The sequence below is a fragment of the Homo sapiens genome, chromosome 13 (assembly GCF_000001405.40).
Source record: "Homo sapiens chromosome 13, GRCh38.p14 Primary Assembly".
Classification (NCBI taxonomy): Eukaryota; Metazoa; Chordata; class Mammalia; order Primates; family Hominidae; genus Homo; species Homo sapiens.
In genome coordinates, this window is record NC_000013.11 from 52,142,660 (window position 1) to 52,161,013 (window position 18,354).

General features: G+C 40.0%; 1 protein-coding gene and 1 long non-coding RNA gene across 15 annotated transcripts in view, besides 2 other annotated features; one reads left to right on the top strand and one right to left on the bottom strand.

Moving 5' to 3' along the window:
• NEK3 (NIMA related kinase 3) overlaps positions 1-17,201 on the bottom strand; it is a 27,214-nt gene extending 10,013 nt beyond the window's left edge. For 2 of the 14 annotated variants that reach the window (NR_164641.1, NM_002498.3), the window contains exons 1-10: positions 16,884-16,938; positions 13,416-13,589; positions 11,421-11,514; positions 11,236-11,333; positions 9,950-10,033; positions 8,666-8,733; positions 8,487-8,573; positions 5,756-5,810; positions 2,032-2,232; positions 1,256-1,328 (exon numbers count right to left, since the gene is read on the bottom strand). Coding sequence is in view for 13 of the 14 variants with exons in the window: in NM_002498.3 (NP_002489.1) it covers positions 1,256-1,328; positions 2,032-2,232; positions 5,756-5,810; positions 8,487-8,573; positions 8,666-8,733; positions 9,950-10,033; positions 11,236-11,333; positions 11,421-11,514; positions 13,416-13,532 (877 nt within the window). In the remaining variant the exon portion in view is untranslated. Of the gene's footprint in view, positions 1-1,255; positions 1,329-2,031; positions 2,233-5,755; positions 5,811-8,486; positions 8,574-8,665; positions 8,734-9,949; positions 10,034-11,235; positions 11,352-11,420; positions 11,515-13,415; positions 13,590-16,538; positions 16,797-16,883 lie in introns of those variants that run through there. The other 12 variants (NM_001424264.1, NM_001424266.1, NM_001424269.1 and 9 more) reach the window with 12 other exon arrangements.
• On the top strand, positions 11,510-14,687 carry LOC124903176 (uncharacterized). Its single transcript, XR_007063806.1, has 2 exons — positions 11,510-12,139; positions 12,203-14,687. It is a non-coding gene; the product is annotated as an uncharacterized LOC124903176 (long non-coding RNA).
• Positions 16,625-16,734: a silencer, noted in NCBI's record as "silent region_5381". NCBI's record gives its function as "represses an Ori minimal core promoter by ATAC-STARR-seq in GM12878 lymphoblastoid cells {active_cell/tissue: GM12878}" and the evidence as "EXISTENCE:reporter gene assay evidence [ECO:0000049][PMID:35858748]".
• Positions 16,815-16,874: a silencer, noted in NCBI's record as "silent region_5382". NCBI's record gives its function as "represses an Ori minimal core promoter by ATAC-STARR-seq in GM12878 lymphoblastoid cells {active_cell/tissue: GM12878}" and the evidence as "EXISTENCE:reporter gene assay evidence [ECO:0000049][PMID:35858748]".
• Positions 17,202-18,354: the final 1,153 nt, after the last annotated feature.

Genomic DNA, 18,354 nt, shown 5'->3' on the forward strand with positions numbered 1-18,354 from the left:
TTTAAGAAAACAATACAGTTCTCAAAATGTTTCTTTTGTAGTATCTGCATATAACATTATGATAAAGAGCACCAGGCAATAGAGGTTTTGCAACATGTCCCAGCAGTGAATGATCTCCTACACTTCTTAATTCTTCTCCTGTATTCCATTCATAGCTACTATCTCTGTTGGATTTCTTCAGAAGGAAATCACTGATGAGAAATGAAAGCGAATAAAAATAGCTTTGAAAAAATTCAGAGATGACAACTTCCAAAGAGACAATAAATTAAATTTGATATTTTCTCAGGATAGGCTATAGATGTATGAAAATTTCATGTAGCTATTATGTGGATGATTCACAGCTTTGGAAAAGGCTCTGGTTTTTGTCTTTAATTAGGATATTTTACTGTTTAAGAGCAGATCCACCCAGCACTTTGGGAGGCCGAGGTGGGTGGATCACCTGAGGTCAGGAGTTCGAGACCAGCCTGATCAACATGGTGAAACCCCATCTCTACTAAATTCAAAAAATTAGCCAGGCATGGTGGCACATGCCTGTAATCCTAGCTACTTGGGAGGCTGAGGCAAGAGAATCACTTGAACCTGGGGGGCAGAGGTTGCAGTGAGCCGAGATTGTGCCATTGCACTCCAGCCTAGGCAACAAGAGTGAAGCTCCATTTCAAAAAAAAAAAACAAGCAGTTTTAGGTTCACAGCAAAACTGAGTGGTGAATACGGAGAGTCCCATATACCACCTGTCCCCACACACATACCACCTCCCCAATACTAACATGCCACACCATTACAGTCGATAAACCTACTCCGACGCATCACTACCACCCATCACCCAGAGTCCACAGTTTACATTAGAAAAGCTTCTCTTTTTAAAAGTCTGTTTATACGATGGTTCTTCAGAAACTTGGGATACATTTTCCTACAAGATTAGTGCTATATTTTCATGGATAGATTCTTAGGTCAGGCAACAGAAGAAGCCTTCTACCTGACCTACACAACAAGCCAGAGAAAATATGGAACTAATAATGACAGCATAATCTTTCCGTCACTAAAATATCCAAAACTAGGCTTTTTTAAATCCCAATTTTTTCAGGGATCAAAAAGTATTCAGTACAGAATTACATCTAAAGTAACAAAAAGAAAAGGTTCATTTGAGGAGTATCTCCGATAATCATTTCTAATAACTTAAAAATTATACATTTCTTTTCTGTTACAGTATATTTTTAAAAGAGCACTTAACAAAAAATACTCTGTCAAAATTCTTACTTTTTTTTCTTGGTGTGTTATGCTTCGAATTTTTTATTTCTTCTAATACTTCCTCACCATATTCCATGATGATCTGAAATTTAAAGTTGAGAATTTAGAGATGTGAAAACATACTTTTCTATAGATACTGCCGTGATGTCATTTCATCATCAGCATTCTTTAGCACAATAATATTTCAAGTTGAAAAACAAAAGTACCACTTTAAAAAGTACATACAGGCCGGGCATGGTGGCTCACGCCTGTAATCCCAGCACTTTGGGAAGCCGAGACAGGCAGATTGCCTGAGGTCAGGAGTTTGAGACCAGTCTGGCTAACATGGTGAAACCCCGTCTCTACTAAAAATACAAAAAAAGTAGCTGGACGTGGTGGCGTGTGCCTGTAACCCCAGCCACTTGGGAGGCTGAGGCAGGGGAATTGCTTGAACCAGGGAGGTGGAGGTTGCAGTGAGCCAAGATCGCACCACTGCACTCCAGCCTGGGCGACAGAGCGAGACTCCATCTCAAGAAAAAAAAGTACATATAATTTCGATAGACAAATGCAGACATTTATATATGTCTAAAAAAGGTCTGGAAGGATATACAAACTGTGATTATACTTGGGGAATAGCATTGTGGGCGGGAAGAGGAAGGAAACGAAGTTTTAACTTTTTATTTTTTAATATACTTCTGTATCATTTGGATTTTGATGAGCACATGTAATGTATAATGTTAAAAGATAACAAACCATTTTACCATACACTTGAAAACTGTTCACAACCAATCCAACACAGATCATACCTCGGGGGGTAAGCACTTCTGGACAAGCCGAGCTACGATGCCTCGAGAGAGAAGCGTTGTAGCCGAGGGGCGATGTGAGGGATTCCTTTTAAACATCTGCTTGACTAGGAACTGAAGTTCATAGGAGTAATGAGACGGCAGTGGACTGATGCACCCTTGACATACTTTGAGGATAAGATTTTTCCAACTATTTGCCTGAAACTGAAAAGGAAAATTGAACTTTACAAGCAGATACAGGGGAAGAAATGGAAGCAAGAAACTACCAGTTATGTAAATTATTCTAATTTTATAAACATATCTGCTGTCTGGTCATTTTTCTTTCTAGAGGTGTCCTTAAGATACCATTATATAATCTTAAGGTGGCTTAGGAGAAAGTTAAACATGAATGATAAAAAGCTTCCCCATCTAGAAAAAGTATTTCCATCAATGCCTGCTGTGACTACCTTATTAGTCCTAATGTTTTTTGCAGATATACATTATTAATATATATTGAAAATCAAAGTAATATATACACATGGCCTTTTAAAACATCAACTGATACTAAAGGTTTATAATAAGTGTAATATCCCTTTGCTCCAGCCCTTCCCAGAAACTGCCAGGCCTGCTCCATAGCAACATGCACTTCAGACTTACCCAGTTTTCTACAGGTGGTTTTTTGGCTTGAGTGTGATGGTGCAATCACAGCTCACTGCATCTTTGACCTCCTGGGCTCAAGCGATCCTCCCACCTCAGCCTCCCAAATAGCTGGGACTACAGGCATGTGCCACCGCGCCTGGCTAATTTTTAAATTTTTTTTTCTTTTTTTAGACGCAGGGTCTTGCTATGTTGCCCAGGCTAGTCTTGAACTCCTGGGCTCAAACGATCCTCCCACTTTGGCTTCCCAAAGTGCTGAGATTACACGCATGAGGCACTGCACCTGGCCAGACTTTTCCAATTTTAAACTTCTACTGCAAAATCCTTTTTAACCATTCCTGTCATTAAAGCAGCTATGAAAATTTGATGAGTAACACCGTGGGATATACAATGACAGACTGGAGTAACATTTTTAAAGTTTTCCATGTATAATAAATATATCAGAACTAACATTAGATGTCAGCCTTGGTAATGCTTATGAAAGAATGTGTTAGCATTCTACCTTGAAAGTGTATTGCCCTAATACCTACATGAGGGGTTGGTAGGTGCAGCAAATCACCATGGCACCCATTTACCTATGTAACAAAGCTGCGTACTCTGAACATGTACCCCAGAACTTAAAATAAAAATTTTAAATAAGATATTTTATTAATTCATTGCTAGTTACGTTTGAAAATGTTTTCTGCTGATCTGCATATTATGTTTTTATTTATGGTATCTTTTGCTATGCAAAATTTAAAATTTAGTATAGTCAAATTTATTCATCATTTTTCCTTAATAATTTCTGCTTGTCGAATCTTGCTTAAGAAATGATTCTACACCTCAAGGCTATGATAGATGTTAATTACAGTGTGGGGTATATAGAAGCTTTTTGTATTATCTTTGTAATTTTTCTGTAAATCTAAAACTGTTTTAAAATTTAAAAGAAGTTTATTTTTTAAAAAGTGTATTGTCCTATGAATATAAAATGTAAGTGAATATATGAAAAAGAAAAATCAACACATAACAAAGGACAGATTGTGATAATGACAAATACTACTGAATCTGCTTTGCCTCTGGCTTTTTAACCATTACACCAACTATCTGTGTTTCCTAAAGGTTTGAGAACAACTTTTGTCTTCGAGCAGACAAGGGATGACAGATCTCATGCCAAATATTCAGGGCACTATAGTCCTTAATACTCATTCTTGCTGGAAAAAAGAAGAACGTATACATGTAAATTATGAAAAAGATACATCAGGAAGTAAAGAATTGTAAGATGTTGGAATTTTAAAAATAATTTTATTTGTAGACTATGGTGGTTCTCAACTTGGGCTGTACATTGTAATCACCTGTTTTAAAAACATTAATGCCCAGGACATTTTCAGAGATTTTAATTCAATCACTGTGCTGTGGGCCTAGGCATCAGCATTTTAAAGGTTCCCCAAGTTGTTCTAACTGTGTAGCTATCATTATAAACCACTTATATTCAAGGAAGATAACCTCTCATTAATACCAGGTGTCTTCAGTTTGAGCTACTTTCATCTGGTAGTGGTGAAGATTGTTTCTCAACCATTCACCCTCTCCTGAGCTCTATGTGCCCTCAAGTACATCTGTAAAAAAGCTAACCTTCAGCCTGTGCCCAAAGAACAGAATTTATTTCTATGCAAAGCTAAGAACTAATAGGAATTGGCCCTGCAGTTGTTGTTCTATATAATAAACAATGGCTGAACAAGCGGGACAAGTTATTTAACCTTTTTTTGTTCATATTTTTAAAAATATCTTGAAAAAACACATTATAGGGCAAAGTCTATGTTTTCATGATGTTTCAGTTAGAGAGGAAACTCATATAAGTGAAATCTAACTGCAAAAAGCTGAGGAAAAAAATGACGCGGCCACTCTTGCAAAGTTTGCTGTTTCCTCAAAAAGCTAAATACAATTACCATATGACCCAGCAGTTCCACTGCTAAATGTAAACCTCAAAATTTGGAATCAAGGACTCTAACAGATACTTGTACACCATTTGTTCATAACAGCATTATATACAATAGCCAAAAGACAGAAACGACCCAAGTGTCCCTCAACAGATGAATGGATAAACATGTCTATACACACAATGGAATACTATGCAGCCATAAAAAGGAATGGAATCCTGATAGATGCTACAACATGGATGAACCTTGAAAACACTGTGCTAGTGAAATAAACCAGACACAAAAGGGCAAAAGTTCTATAATTCCAGTTGTATGAAATACCTAGAATATGCAAATTCATGAGGCAGAAATTAGATTGGGACTGGGGAAAGGGAAGAAATGGGGAGCAACTATTTAATGGGTACAGAGTTTCTGGTTGGGGTGATGACAAAAGTTTTACAAAGAGATAGTAGTGGCCGGGCATAGTGGCTCATGCCTGTAATCCCAGCACTTTGGGAGGCCGAGGCGAGTGGATCACCTGAGGTCAGGAGTTCAAGACCAGCCTGCTCAACATGGGGGAAAATACAAAAAAATACAAAAAAAATGTCTCTAGTAAAAATACAAAAAAAATTTAGCTGGGCATGGTGGTATGCACCTGTAGTCCCAGCTACTTGGGAGGCTGAGGCAGGAGAATCACTTGAACCCAGGAGGCGGAGGTTGCAGTGAGCTGAGATTGCACCACTGCACTCCAGACTGGGCAACAGAGCAAGATTCCATCTCAAAAACGAAACAAAACAAAACAAAACAAAAAACCCCCAAAGAGATAATAGTGGTGGTTGCACAATATTTTGAATGTAATTAATGACAATGAATTGTATACTTAAAAATGGATAAAATGGCAAATTTTATATTTATTTTATCAAAATAAAAAATTAAGAATAGCAAAAAGAAAGAAAAGAGGAAAAGAGAAAGAAAGAGAGAGAAAGGTTATGTATTGCACAGCCAAACTGAATAATGGAAATTTCCTATTAGTATATGCTACAAAACTAACTCAGGGCAGATGACTGCACTGGAAACATATACAAACTTTTATAATGACTTCATCCTAGGGAAGCAAACTGCCAACTAGAATCTGTCACATTATTAGGGCTCAGCTAGATATGACAAGCTGCCTTTTCCATTTTGCACGCCATACTTACTGGATGCTTAAGGGTACAGAGTTCATACAGGATGCAACCCAAGGACCAGATGTCACTGAAAGCATAAAGAAGCAATGTAATCACAAGCAGGTTACGTATTTTCTAGTACAAAAAATAATTTCTTACCTTTAATAAGAATAGATATCACAAGTAATTCCTAGGTATTAAAACATATAATGTTGGTCTAACACCTAGATACTTCCTAAGAGTAGTGTTCACAATAAAACTCTCTGCTTTTCAATCCCCACCCCCTTCAAATTGGGGCAGTTGAGATATCACTTCAGTAGCATTTGGGAATTCAGTAGCAAGAGGGAATATTTGCGGACTCAGATGATCACAGCTGGAAGAAGGACTCTGGAAGGCATCCAGTGTAGTTTCTATTCCGACCACCCTGGACACAGCACCCAGCCTTTGATCACATCTCCTGCTGGCAGCTCTCTACTTCCCACACAGTCTGCTGGATGGCTCTAAGGGATAGGGTTCTTCCTTTTCTTTGAGATGGAGTCTTGCTCTGTTGCCCAGGCTGTAGTGCAGCCTCACAATCTCGGCTCACTGCAAGCTCTGCCTCCCGGATTCACACCATTCTCCTGCCTCAGCCTCCAGAGTAGCTGGGACTACAGGCGCCCGCCACCACGCCCAGCTAATTTTTTTTTTTGTATTTGTTTTAGTAGAGACAGGGTTTCACCGTGTTAGCCAGGATGGTCTCAATCTCCTGACCTCGTGATCCGCGCGCCTCAGCCTCCCAAAGTGCTGGGATTACAGGTGTGAGCCACCGCGCCCAGCCCACCTTTTCTTTTTTTTAAGGGATGGGGTCTCACTGTGTTGCCTAGGCTGGAGTGCAGTGGCTATTCACAGGCATGATGTCACTGTACTGCTGCCTTGAACTCCTGGGCTCAAGCAATCCTCCTGCCTCAGCCTCCCAGGTAGTTGGGACTACAAGCACACACCACCAGGCCCAGCTCCTCCAGACTTTTCTAAATGATATTCTTTTTTATTTTAATTAATGGTTTTTACCAACTATTTCCCCGTTTAGTTTTTTTAAATTTCAAATCTACAGAAAAGTTGCAATGTCCACATGCCCTTATCTAGGTCCCCCAATCATTCTCATTGGCCATGTTTGCGTGCTAATCTCCCTCCTCTATATCTATCTGAATCTCCTGAAAAAAGGTTGCCCGCCGGGCATGGTGGTTCACACCTGTAATCCCAGCACTTTGGGAGGCCGAGCCGGGCAGATCACAAGGTCAGGAGTTTGAGACCAGCCTGGCCAATATGGTGAAACCCCATCTCTACTAAAAAATACAAAAATTAGCTGGGTGTGGCGGCGGGCGCCTGTAGTCCCAGCTACTCAGGAAGCTGAGGCAGGAGAATCACTTGAACTCGTGAGGCAGAGATTGCAGTGAGCCAAGATTGTGCCATTGCACTCAAGCCTGAGCAACAGAGTGAGACTCTGTCTCAAAAAAAAAAAAAAAAGGTTGCAGATATTGAACACTTCATCCCTACATACATCAGCATGTATCTCCTAAGAACGAAGACCTACACTTTCCCTCATAAACACAATACTGTTATCACATCCAAGGAATTTAATCTCAATTCGGTAACATTATTTAAAATTTACTGCATACCCAAATTTCCCCAATTGTCCCAATAAGTCCCTGTAGAGCTGTTTTGTCCCCATTCAGTCAATTCTACTCTTAAAATAACCTATTTAGTATAGATTGTCATACCCTTTTCAGAAAGCAAGTCAGCAAAAAGTAACAACAGCCTTTAGGTGTTTCTCCTCCTAGGAATCCATGCCAAGAATGTCACATAAAACAAGGACAAATTTAGACAAAAGGTATGTTAATTACAGCACTGTTTATGAGACTGAAATGTGGAAATATAAGGCCAACAACAGAGGGATTACTAAGTAAATTTTGGAAGCGCCATATAGTAAAATATATGTAGCCATTAGAAAATTTATGAAGAGTTTAAGTATGTGGGGAAATGACTATAATATAAAACGACTAAAGTAAATTATATATAAAATATATCAACCAGTTTTAGGGGGAAAAGTAAATGAAGAAAAAAACATCAAAATGTTATTGGCAGTTAAGAAAAGTGGGTGATTTCCATGTCCTTTCTTACAGGTCTATTTCCAATCTTCCCTGCACATCCATCCCCACAATTGGCACATATAACTTATATTCAGAAAAAATACTGCATTTTAAATCATTAAGATCTTCATATTAACCTCCTGCAATCAACTTACCTTATAATCTAGCCCTATAAATACCAACTCAATGACACAATCTATTCATTCTCAAATGTTGCTGTACATTGGAATCACCCAGTGATCTTGAAAAATTACTGATGCCTGCTTCTCACCCTTTGCCATTTTGATTTAATTAGTGTAGACGCAACCTGGGATTTGGGATTTTTATAAGTGGGAGCAACAGTTTGGGAACCACTGATATAATTCATACCGTCCCTAGAAATGACTAGCCTTTCTTTCAGCATTTGCTCCTCTCAGCTATAATTAATAGCAATTGGAAAACTATTACTTTTATCTAGCAGCCTAGCAATATAGATTAGCAATATAGATTCCAGATATATTTCTGCTTTCAGATATATTTCTTAGAAACCAATATGATCCATGCATCTGTTTTGAAGTGACGTCAGACTCTAGCATCATTTGCAGGCTAAAATGCCTGTCACCAAATGGGCACCCTGACATCAAATATGCAGCACTCACCTTTTATTGTTATAAGGCAGGTTTTCCCAAATTTCTGGAGGCACATAATAAGGAGTTCCCACATAGGTACAAGCAAATGCCATCGGACTAAAACCATAAAAAGGCAACGAATGATTACAGAACATTCCTGAAAATTGATGTTTTGATTACTGTCACTACCGTAGAACAGACATACATACTTGGAGAGAAGACGGGCAGATCCAAAGTCTCCCAATTTCACTTTTCCATTCTGAGTGAGGAAGATATTCTGCATTTAAAAAGAAAAGCTCAGATTATGTCTTCTATCATCAAACATGAGGCAGATAAGCTGTCTTCCAAAGCCTGCTGATGATGGAGATTAAGGCTAGAAATGCTGACAGCTGAGTCCCAGAGTGGAACACAAAACACCAAGATCCCCTCTTGATCGCTAGACATTCCCCTGCATGGAAACTCAGGATGAGTGCTTCAAAATCTAACAAGCAAGTTTTAGGTTGTATCAGCAGACGCAATCGACCCAGTGAGAACCTGTGTCAGGGTGATGCCACATGGCAGGCCCAGGTGTCAACCGTTTTCCATCTGAGAACACATGGACTTAGTAAGTGGTCACTAAAAGAGAGCTAGGACACATTAATATACACAGTCACATGCTGCATAACCACATTTCAGTCAACAATGGATGGCATATACGACAATGGTCCCAGAAGACTATAATACCATATTTTTACTGTACGTTTTCTATGTTTAAATATACAACTACTTACCATTGTATTCCAATTGCCTAAGAAATTCAGTACAGTAACACGCTGTACCAGTTTGTAGCCTAGAAGCAACAGGCTACACTATATAGCCTAGGTGTGTAATAGGCTATAACATCTAGGTTTGTGTAAGCACACTCTACGATGCTCACACAACAAAATCACCTTACAATGCATTTCTGAGTACTTATCCCCCTGTCGTTAAGCGATGCATGACTGTACTACTACAGAGATTTCAATGACTTTTTCTCAGGTGTTACCTTATTTGGTTTGTATAAATATTAAGTCAAAGGGTACAAAGTTTCAGTTATGACAAGTAAGTTCCAGTGATCTGTTGTACAACATGGTGACTATAGTTAATAATAATGCATAGAATACTTAATAATGCATAGAATACTTAAAAAGTGCTGAGAGTAGATCTTAAATGTCCTCACCACAAAGAAATAATAAGTACGTGAGGCAACAGATATGTTAATTACCTTGATTTAATCATTTTACAGTGTGTGTGTATATATATATAACACGTTGTACGTCATAAACATACATAATTTTTGTCAATTATATTTTAAGAAAGGTGGGGGAATTTAAATTTGAAAAGTAAATAACAAATATTAGGCTGACAAATATTTCTAAACTAAACAAAACTGTCCCAAAATGCATGGCATAACACAGTAAAATGACTGAATTAAGGACTTTTTTTTTTTAAGTCCAAAAATGTACTCCACTCACCTTGGACTTGATATCTCTGTGTAGCACACGTTTCTTGTGAATGTGATTTACTCCAAGGCACATTTGGGTAAACCAATTAAGTATCTGTAAGAAAAAGGTATGCAAAATCTTCAAGAATGCAGTAACTGGCTCATGTTAACCTACAATTCCAAAGAATCATCTCTAGGCCTTAGTCAACCGGGATTTTACGTAATGTGAGTACAGAACTCCTATAAATTACATAGTTCAACTAAGATTCAGTGTTACTTGGAGAAATTCAGAAAAGCTGTGACTCCCATATTCCATCATCTTATGCATGATCCAAATAGCAATTTATTTTAGTAAAACTTCTACTTATATTATTCTTATATTCAACCAAATAAAAGTATTTCTTAAATGCTTATATAAAGAGAGTTCACCACTAAGAAATACACTACAGCTTTTCTAGTGTAATCATTATGTTGGATTTTCATTTAATTCTGCAGAATATCCATACGGTAACATCAAAAGATTTCATTATATCATAAATAATCCTTTGAGGTCAATAGTTCCTGCTTATAAGTCCAAGGTCAACAGTACCCTGAATTTCTAGGTGTCTTGGGGGCCTACAGTTAAATGTCAAACTAATTTTTTTTTTCCCTCTTGCTACGGAGATTCTTCCAGTTGAAGCCAAGGTTGACTTCCTTCTACGGAACCCACATTTTTAACAATATAGTTTCTAAATGAATAATATTTATTTACATACTTTCATAACATGCTATAACCTAGATCAAACTAAGCCTCATTGGAGCAATTTAAATATTTTCCATAGCCAATTCATTAAAAAATATTTAGTATGCAATTTTCCACTAAAAAGGCAGCAAGTCTTAGACTGAAGGGACCACTTCAAGCTTTAGGAGGAAAAAGATTGAGAATAGGTACTCCCAAGAAACAGAAATGGCAAGCTTCATTCTTCTGATGTTTTAGTAATACAAAATAAAATAGACCTCTCTTCTAAAATTTCAGTACGATAAAAACCAAGATTTTAAATATCTAGTACAAAATTTGGTGATACGATCTTGAAATTATTCTAAACATGAAAGTTTTATTTCATAATAATTTATAACCTATAGATTTTACTTCCTAAAACCATTTCAGGCAGCCATATCCTGAGGACACTAAGTGGTAACACCAATTCAGAAATCAGTCATTTCTATCTACCTTCTCGGGTAATTACAGATATCAATGCTTTTATTTTAACTTATATAAAGTTTATGAGAAAAGTGGCTTCTAAACCTTGAGAGAAACTATGTAAGTCAATCTCTTACCATGTCTTCAGGAAATAACTTTCCTTTCTGCTGTTTAATCTTTTGCATTAGATCCCCTCCATCACAGTATTCCATCACAATATACAAGTGTCCTTCAGCTAAAACAGATATAAGCTCTTTAGAAAAGCTGTAGTGGCTATAAATCAAATTCAGAAATGCACATATCTGGGGGAATTCGTATTTACCTTCAAATGATTCTTTGAAGGCAACAATATTAGGGTGTTTCATTTTGGCTAAAAGAACAGCCTCCTTCCTAGAATTCTGTGTATTAGAGAAAGACTAGAAAAACATTTTAAATAAGCATAAACTTAATACTGCATTTTAAAATACATAACTTTACAATAACATGGTTTATATGACACTTTAATGCTAGATGCAGTTTTATAACACACTGTGGCTCAACTTAAGTTTGTCAAATGACAAGAGAAAATGCATGTTGATTTTTCAACTCTGGCTATATTTTCATGCTTGAGCTGACCCCTTCATTGTATTTTTATTTTCTTTTTTCATTCCTTACACATACAGAATGTAAATAGTTTTAATATCAGCCTAAGTATCACCTGACTTAGAGAGCCAGTTTACCATCAAAAATAATGTATCTTTTGCTTGATGACTTGTGATGTAGAAAAAAAGAAAAAGAAATGTTTTATCCTAAAAGAAAAAAAAAAGGGAGTGAGGGATTTCATGTTTTGACTGTCTGCATCACTTAGAGGAGTCCACTGGTCCAGATAAAAAAAGAGTATGCTGGTATATTACTGCATCAAGGATGAACAAAGATGGCAAGCAAAGTAAGTTTCCAAAACCATTTATCCCTAACTTACTCTATGAGGATGAAATTCTGAATGATTCATCTTACAATCAAGAAATTGCCATTGTTAGTTGGGTGTGGTGGCTACCCTCCCCAGTGGCTGGGACTATAGATGTAGACTATAGATGTAGTATAGTCCCAGCCACTGGGGAGGGTGAGGTGGGAAGATCGCTTGAGCCCAGGAGTTTGAGCTGCAGTGAGCTACGATTGTGCCACTACACTCCAGCCTGGGCAATAGAGCAAGACCCCATCTATAAATTTTAAAAAAGAAAGAAAAGAAATTGCCATTGATTGTATAGTAACACAAGGGTTCTCAGACCAGCAACATCAGCACCAACTGGGAACTTGTTAAAAATGCAAATTCACAAGCCCACCTGGACCTACTCAATCGGAAGCCTGGGGGTGGAGCACAGCAGTCCATGTTTTAACAAGCCCTCCAGATGATTATGATGCTCACTCAAGTTTGAAAATCACTGAACGAAGTCAAGAATACAGTGGGAAAAAAATACCTAGCACTCTGAGAACTTTATTAGAATGTATTTTTAAAAAATTGATCCAAAATATTATGACATAGTCTTCATGTAATGAATTCTTTCATAGGACAACTATGATACATAGTAATGGTCTACAAGGAAATAAAACCTATAAACTGATCCACAGAGTAGGTTTACTGGTACCAAAGGTTAGCATTCATTCTTCACTGTATTTTTATGATCCTTTTTCATTAATATTGCACCTGAGTTGCTCTGGCAAAGATTTCCTGCACCATTAGGTATACAAAAGTGGTAGTTATTACCAATTATTTGCTGAAATAAAATTAGCAGTAATCACCACCAAAACTTTTACTGTTTTTCTCCCATTGTTAATTACAATATCCTAAGAACCACATATAATGTATCGAGCCCTTGTAAAGCTAACGAATAAACCAATTACATCTTTTGCATGAAGGAGAAATTCCATGTTAAAACTCAAAAACTTATTATTTATTTTTTGAGACAGAGTCTTATTTTGTCACCAAGGCTGGAGTGCAGTGGCACAATCTCAGCTTACTGCAACCTCTGCCTCCCAGGTTAGGGTGATTCTCCTGCCTCTGCCTCCTGAATAGCTGGGACTACAGGTGCAGGCCACCACACTTGCCTAATTTTTTTTTTATTATTTTTACTAGAGACGGGTTTTCCCCATGTTGGCCAGGCTGGCCTCAAACTCCTGACCTCAGGCCGGTCTCAAACTCCTGACCTCAGGTGATCTACCCGCCTCCACCTCCCAAAGTGCTGGGATTACAGGTGTGAGCCACTGTGCCTGGCCAAAAACTTATTCTTTTATATAAACTGCATGTATACTTTCAAAGTGAGCTAATTTCTTTAGTAGTGACCTTGGGAAGCCTTATTTCTTTCATGGCAAACATCTGATTACTGCTTTCATGCTGAACCAAAAGAGCTCTGCCGAAGGAGCCCTCCCCAATCATTCTCAGGACCATGTAGTCATCCATGCTGGGGCATCCACACAGCTGGGCTCCACTCACGCAGTCACCATGGGCTCTCCCAAACTGCATTCAAAAGCAGAAACATTTGAGAATTAAATGTACTTTCAAAAAGCAAAAATTAATTCAAAGTAGCTCTCATAACCATGATAAGAGAAAAGCAAATTATTCCTTTTGAAGAGGATCAGTGTATGCTACCCCAAAATATGCCACTTTCATGTAAGAATTGTTTTGAGCTGAAACCAATTTGCTCTTTGCCCTCCCTTTTTTGTATAAATGCAGGGCATAAATTTTCCTATGTACAGGTAATAAATATCCATTTGTAAATGTGTCTTCCTTTCCAGTACCAGGAAGAGGAGAGCAACTCTTACCAATGGGGAAGGCACCAACTTGAGTCCACATAACAAACTTTACTGAATAACCCTTATCTTATGTTAGCTTCCGCCATATATTTACCTTCCTACAATTTACCCAAGAAGCATTCCCCTACTTTTGTCTAGTTACTTCTCTATAATTTATCACTCTTTGTTAAAATGGCATATGAGCCCCCTGGTCTAACCACTTCTTTACATTTATGCATAAACCTTTTTTCCTGTTAATCTATCTTTCATCAGTTTATTTTGCAGGGCCCAGCTACTGAACCTAAGAGGGCAGAGAAAAAATGTTTTTCCTCCCCTATACTACATACAACAGGCAGACACTGAGCACCAACTCTGAGTCAGATGTTATAATCTGAAAAATCTCTCATAGTCCCTGCCAACGTGGACATCCCATGCAGAGATAACCATAAACCTCAACAAATGTAGGCTATTTAAGCTGAAGCCTGAAGGATGAATGAAACTTGGCTAGACAAAGAGGAGGAAAAGAGTAATCAAGGAAGAGGAAATTGCATATTTAAGAGCTAAAGAAATTACATTCAGTTCAAGAAATTGAAAGAAGAATGTAACAAGCTGCTGAAGCATTTTAACCAAGAAGGCAATATAATCATATTTGCATATTAGAAAAAACATTCACTCAGATTGCAGATTAAATGGACCAGTGGAGGAGGGGCAGGAAGGCCAGCTCAGAGACACAGGCCAGTTAGGAGGCTCCAACAATAGAAAAGGCAGGAAAATAATGAAATGGAATAGAGTGGAGGCAATGGGGTCAGAAAAAATGGGAAGGAAAGATGTAAGAACAGTTGACAGGATTTGTGGTGGCAGATTTATGGGGGGCAAGCAGAGAAGGGGGCAAGGTTGACTCCCAAGTTTCTGGCATGAACCAGATGGTTTCTTGGCACTCCCTGAGAGAGGAAAGGCACAATGGTTGTGTGTGTGGTTTTTTGTTTGTGTGATTTTTCTGGAAGTGGGAGTGTTGCAGGGGTTGGGCAAAACATATTGATAGAAGACAGACATGTGTTTCATTTTGGACATGCCAAACTGGAGGTTCCTGGGAGTCAAGAGAGATGTTAAACACACAGTTGGAGTCCTTGACTTCAGTCTCCCATCTATATTTCCAGGATGAAGCAGCTAGCGGGACTGCTTAGCACATAAGAGAAAATGGATAAAACGTTCCTAACACTTTGCCTGGTACATACAAGGTCCTGAATAACTGGCAGCTATTATGATTATTAAAACCTTAGGGAAGTGATGCATTCTTTTTCATTGCAGGAAAAACACTGTAATGAATTTACTTGATTTTTCAAAAAGCTTACAGTGTTTGTTTTTTATTTTGAGACGGAGTCTCGCTCCTGTTGCCCAGGCTGGAGTGCAATGGTGCGATCTCGGCTCACCGCAACCTCCACCTCCCAGGTTCAAGTGATTCTCCTGCCTCAGCCTCCCGAGTAGCTGGGATTACAGGCATGCGCCACCACGCCCGGCTAATTTTGTATTTTTAGTAGAGACGCGGTTTCTCCATGTTGGTCAGGCTGGGCTCGAACTCCCGACCTCAGATGATCCGCCCGCCTCGGCCTCCCAAAGTGCTGGGATTACAGGCGTGAGCCACCCCGTCCGGCCCTAGTGTTCGTTTTTTAATTACACCACAAAGAATTATAAGGCAGAGAGAGCATGACAGGCAAAGCAAAAATCAAACTAAAACCTCTACTATAGTGACCTGTAAAAATTCCAGTTTGTATTACTGTTTATCACAGAATTACCAGGAAATCCTAGAAATAATTTCTTCATATAACCAAATCAGTCATACACATTGTCTTCGAAACAATGTTTTTCCAAGATCGATGAGGTCTTTTGAGTGTATATAGATGTGAAAGAAACAAGTCCTTTACTACTATTCTAACACCTGGTATTACACGGTTTAACATGGAAGCCAAGTTTCCCCATGATCTTATTCTTCGTTTCTTCGGGGCTTTATTCTATGCAATGGAGAGTAACTGAAAATTAAGAGCAACCAGACTTCTTAGCTGAAAACCACATTTGATATTTTCTGCCCACATTTGCCTGTTACTCAATATTACACCCATATGATCATTACAAGACCTGAATACACTCTGGACATGGCAAAAGTATATCGGCCCCTTCGCATGCCTGCAACAATACTTTTAAAAACCTAATAAAGTGATTTGCAAATACCCAGAAGTGGGATCACCAGTGAGATACGGGCTAAGTTCAGAAAGGTCCCTGAAACCACCTTTACAGATGTATAAGTAATGCGAGAAATCTAACATGACTGACTCCATCTTGCTTCTAACCTCACGGGCTAAGTTTTCACCGTGTTGTCGTTTTCTTATTCTAGCACAGAGGCTAGGATAACTGGGAGAGGGATTTCGTGTAAACTTCAAGACAAGGGAAACTGACCCCACCCCTTCCTGGGAACCAACGAAGCCGCCCCGAGTTTCAGAAGCTCTTGTGATTTCATCCCCAGCCGGTCAACTGTTTCAGTTCCCCAGCCCCCCGAAGCCAAAATGCCCTTTAAAACCCTCGCCCCCGAATTCTCGGGGAGACAGGTCTGAGACCCTGTTCTGGTTTGGCCAGCCCTGCGCTTATTAACTTCTTTTTTTGCTGCAACAGCGGTTCTCACTGGTTCTTTCCGGGCAGCGAGCGAGAAGAATCCGTTGAGCCGGGGCCGGCGCCCGCGGGGCAACTGCACCGCGGGGGAGCCCAGTCGCCCCGCTCACCCGTGAGGGCCCTTTCTCCTGGAAAAGCCGCTCCGCCCTGCTGACCCCCACGGCACCGCGCGCCCAGACCCCAAGGCGGCGAGGGACTTGCGGGTTTGCGGCGAGTGGTCCAGACCGCGGGGCGGAAGTGAGGGGCGCGGCCGCGCGTCCGGGGCGCGTCTACCCCTCGCTCCCACTCGGCTCCGCGCCGCGACCACGCGCCGCCCTCCTCGTTCTAGAGGCAGCCCGCCAGGGCGGGGACCACTCACCCGCTTCCCCGGCGACCCTAGTCCACTCCTTGGCCTGGCAACCGGCGGCTTCCGCGGGGCGGGCCCGGCGGGTCGTCTCTCGGGTTGCGGGTGAAGGAAGCCGCCTGGGTCTGGCGGGAGGCACTGTTCTTGGAGTAGCCGGGCCTACGAAGAGCACGTTTTAAAGCTGTTGTTCCACGTTGCGGTGGAACAGTGCTGTTAACATTGAGGGAAATTGTCCCCGACTAACTGAGTTCTGTCTGCAGGTTAAGTGAAAGCCTATGTAGATAAATTTCACGGGCACAGCACTCAGTGCTAGCTAGAACTTACTAGCTATGTGACCTTGGGCAATTGTGGAAGGCGGGATAATGCTTCCGCCTCAGGATGTCCACATCCTACTCCCTGGAACCTGTGCGTTTGTTCTCTTGCTTGGCAGAGGGGGTTAAGATTGCAGATGGAATTAAGGTTGCTTATCAGCGGACTTTAAAATAAGGTGACGATCTTGGAGTGTGTGCTTGGGTAATTACAAAGTAATTACAAGGGTTCTCTAAAGTGGAAGGGGCCCAAAAAGAAGGTCAGTATGAGAAAGCTATTTGAAGGTGGAGGAAGGGGCAACAGCCAAGGAATGCAGCTGGCCTCAAGAAGCTGGAAGAGGAGCAGGCACAGTGTCTCATGTTTGCAATCCCAGTGCTTTGGAAGGCAGAGGCAGGAGAGGAACACTTTAGCCCAGGAGTTCGAGATCAGCCTGGGCAACATAGTGAGACACTCGTCTCTACGAAAAATTAACTAGACATAGCGACGGGCACTGTGGTCCCAGCTGCTCGGGGGATTGGGGCAGGAGGATCACTAGAGCTGGAGAGGGCTCATGATCCCACCACTGCAGTCCAGCTTTGGTGACAGAGCAAGAACCTGTCTCCAAAAAAAAAAAAAAATATATATATATATATATATATATATATAAAGGAGGAGGTGGGAGGTGGAAAAGGAGGAGAAGCTAGAAAAGGAGGGAAAAACAAAAAACAAAAACCAAATTGTTCCCCAGAGCTTCCAGAAGTAACAGTCCAGCTGACCCCTTGATTTTTTTGTTTTTTGAAACAGGGTCTTGCTATGTTGCCAAGACTGGTTTTGAGCTCCCGGGCTCAAGCGATCCGCCCACCTCAGCCTCCTGAGTGGCTGGGACTACAGGAAAACCACCATGCACACTGACGCCTTGATTTTAACCCAGTGAGCTGTATTTCTGAACTTCAGAACTGTAAGGTAATAAATTCGTGTCGTTTTAGCCACTTAGGTTGTCACAGTTTGTTACAGAAGCCTTAGGAAACTAATACAGCAGAGTAACTAAATCCCTCTGTATAAAAGTATAGAACCTACCTCATAGGATTACTGTGAACAACATCTGGTTACCCTTTACTTGTAAGCGCTGAACGTGTTCATTATAACGTGTCAACCAGAGTCAGAGAGACCGAAATCCAAGTAAAGAAGTTTATTGGCA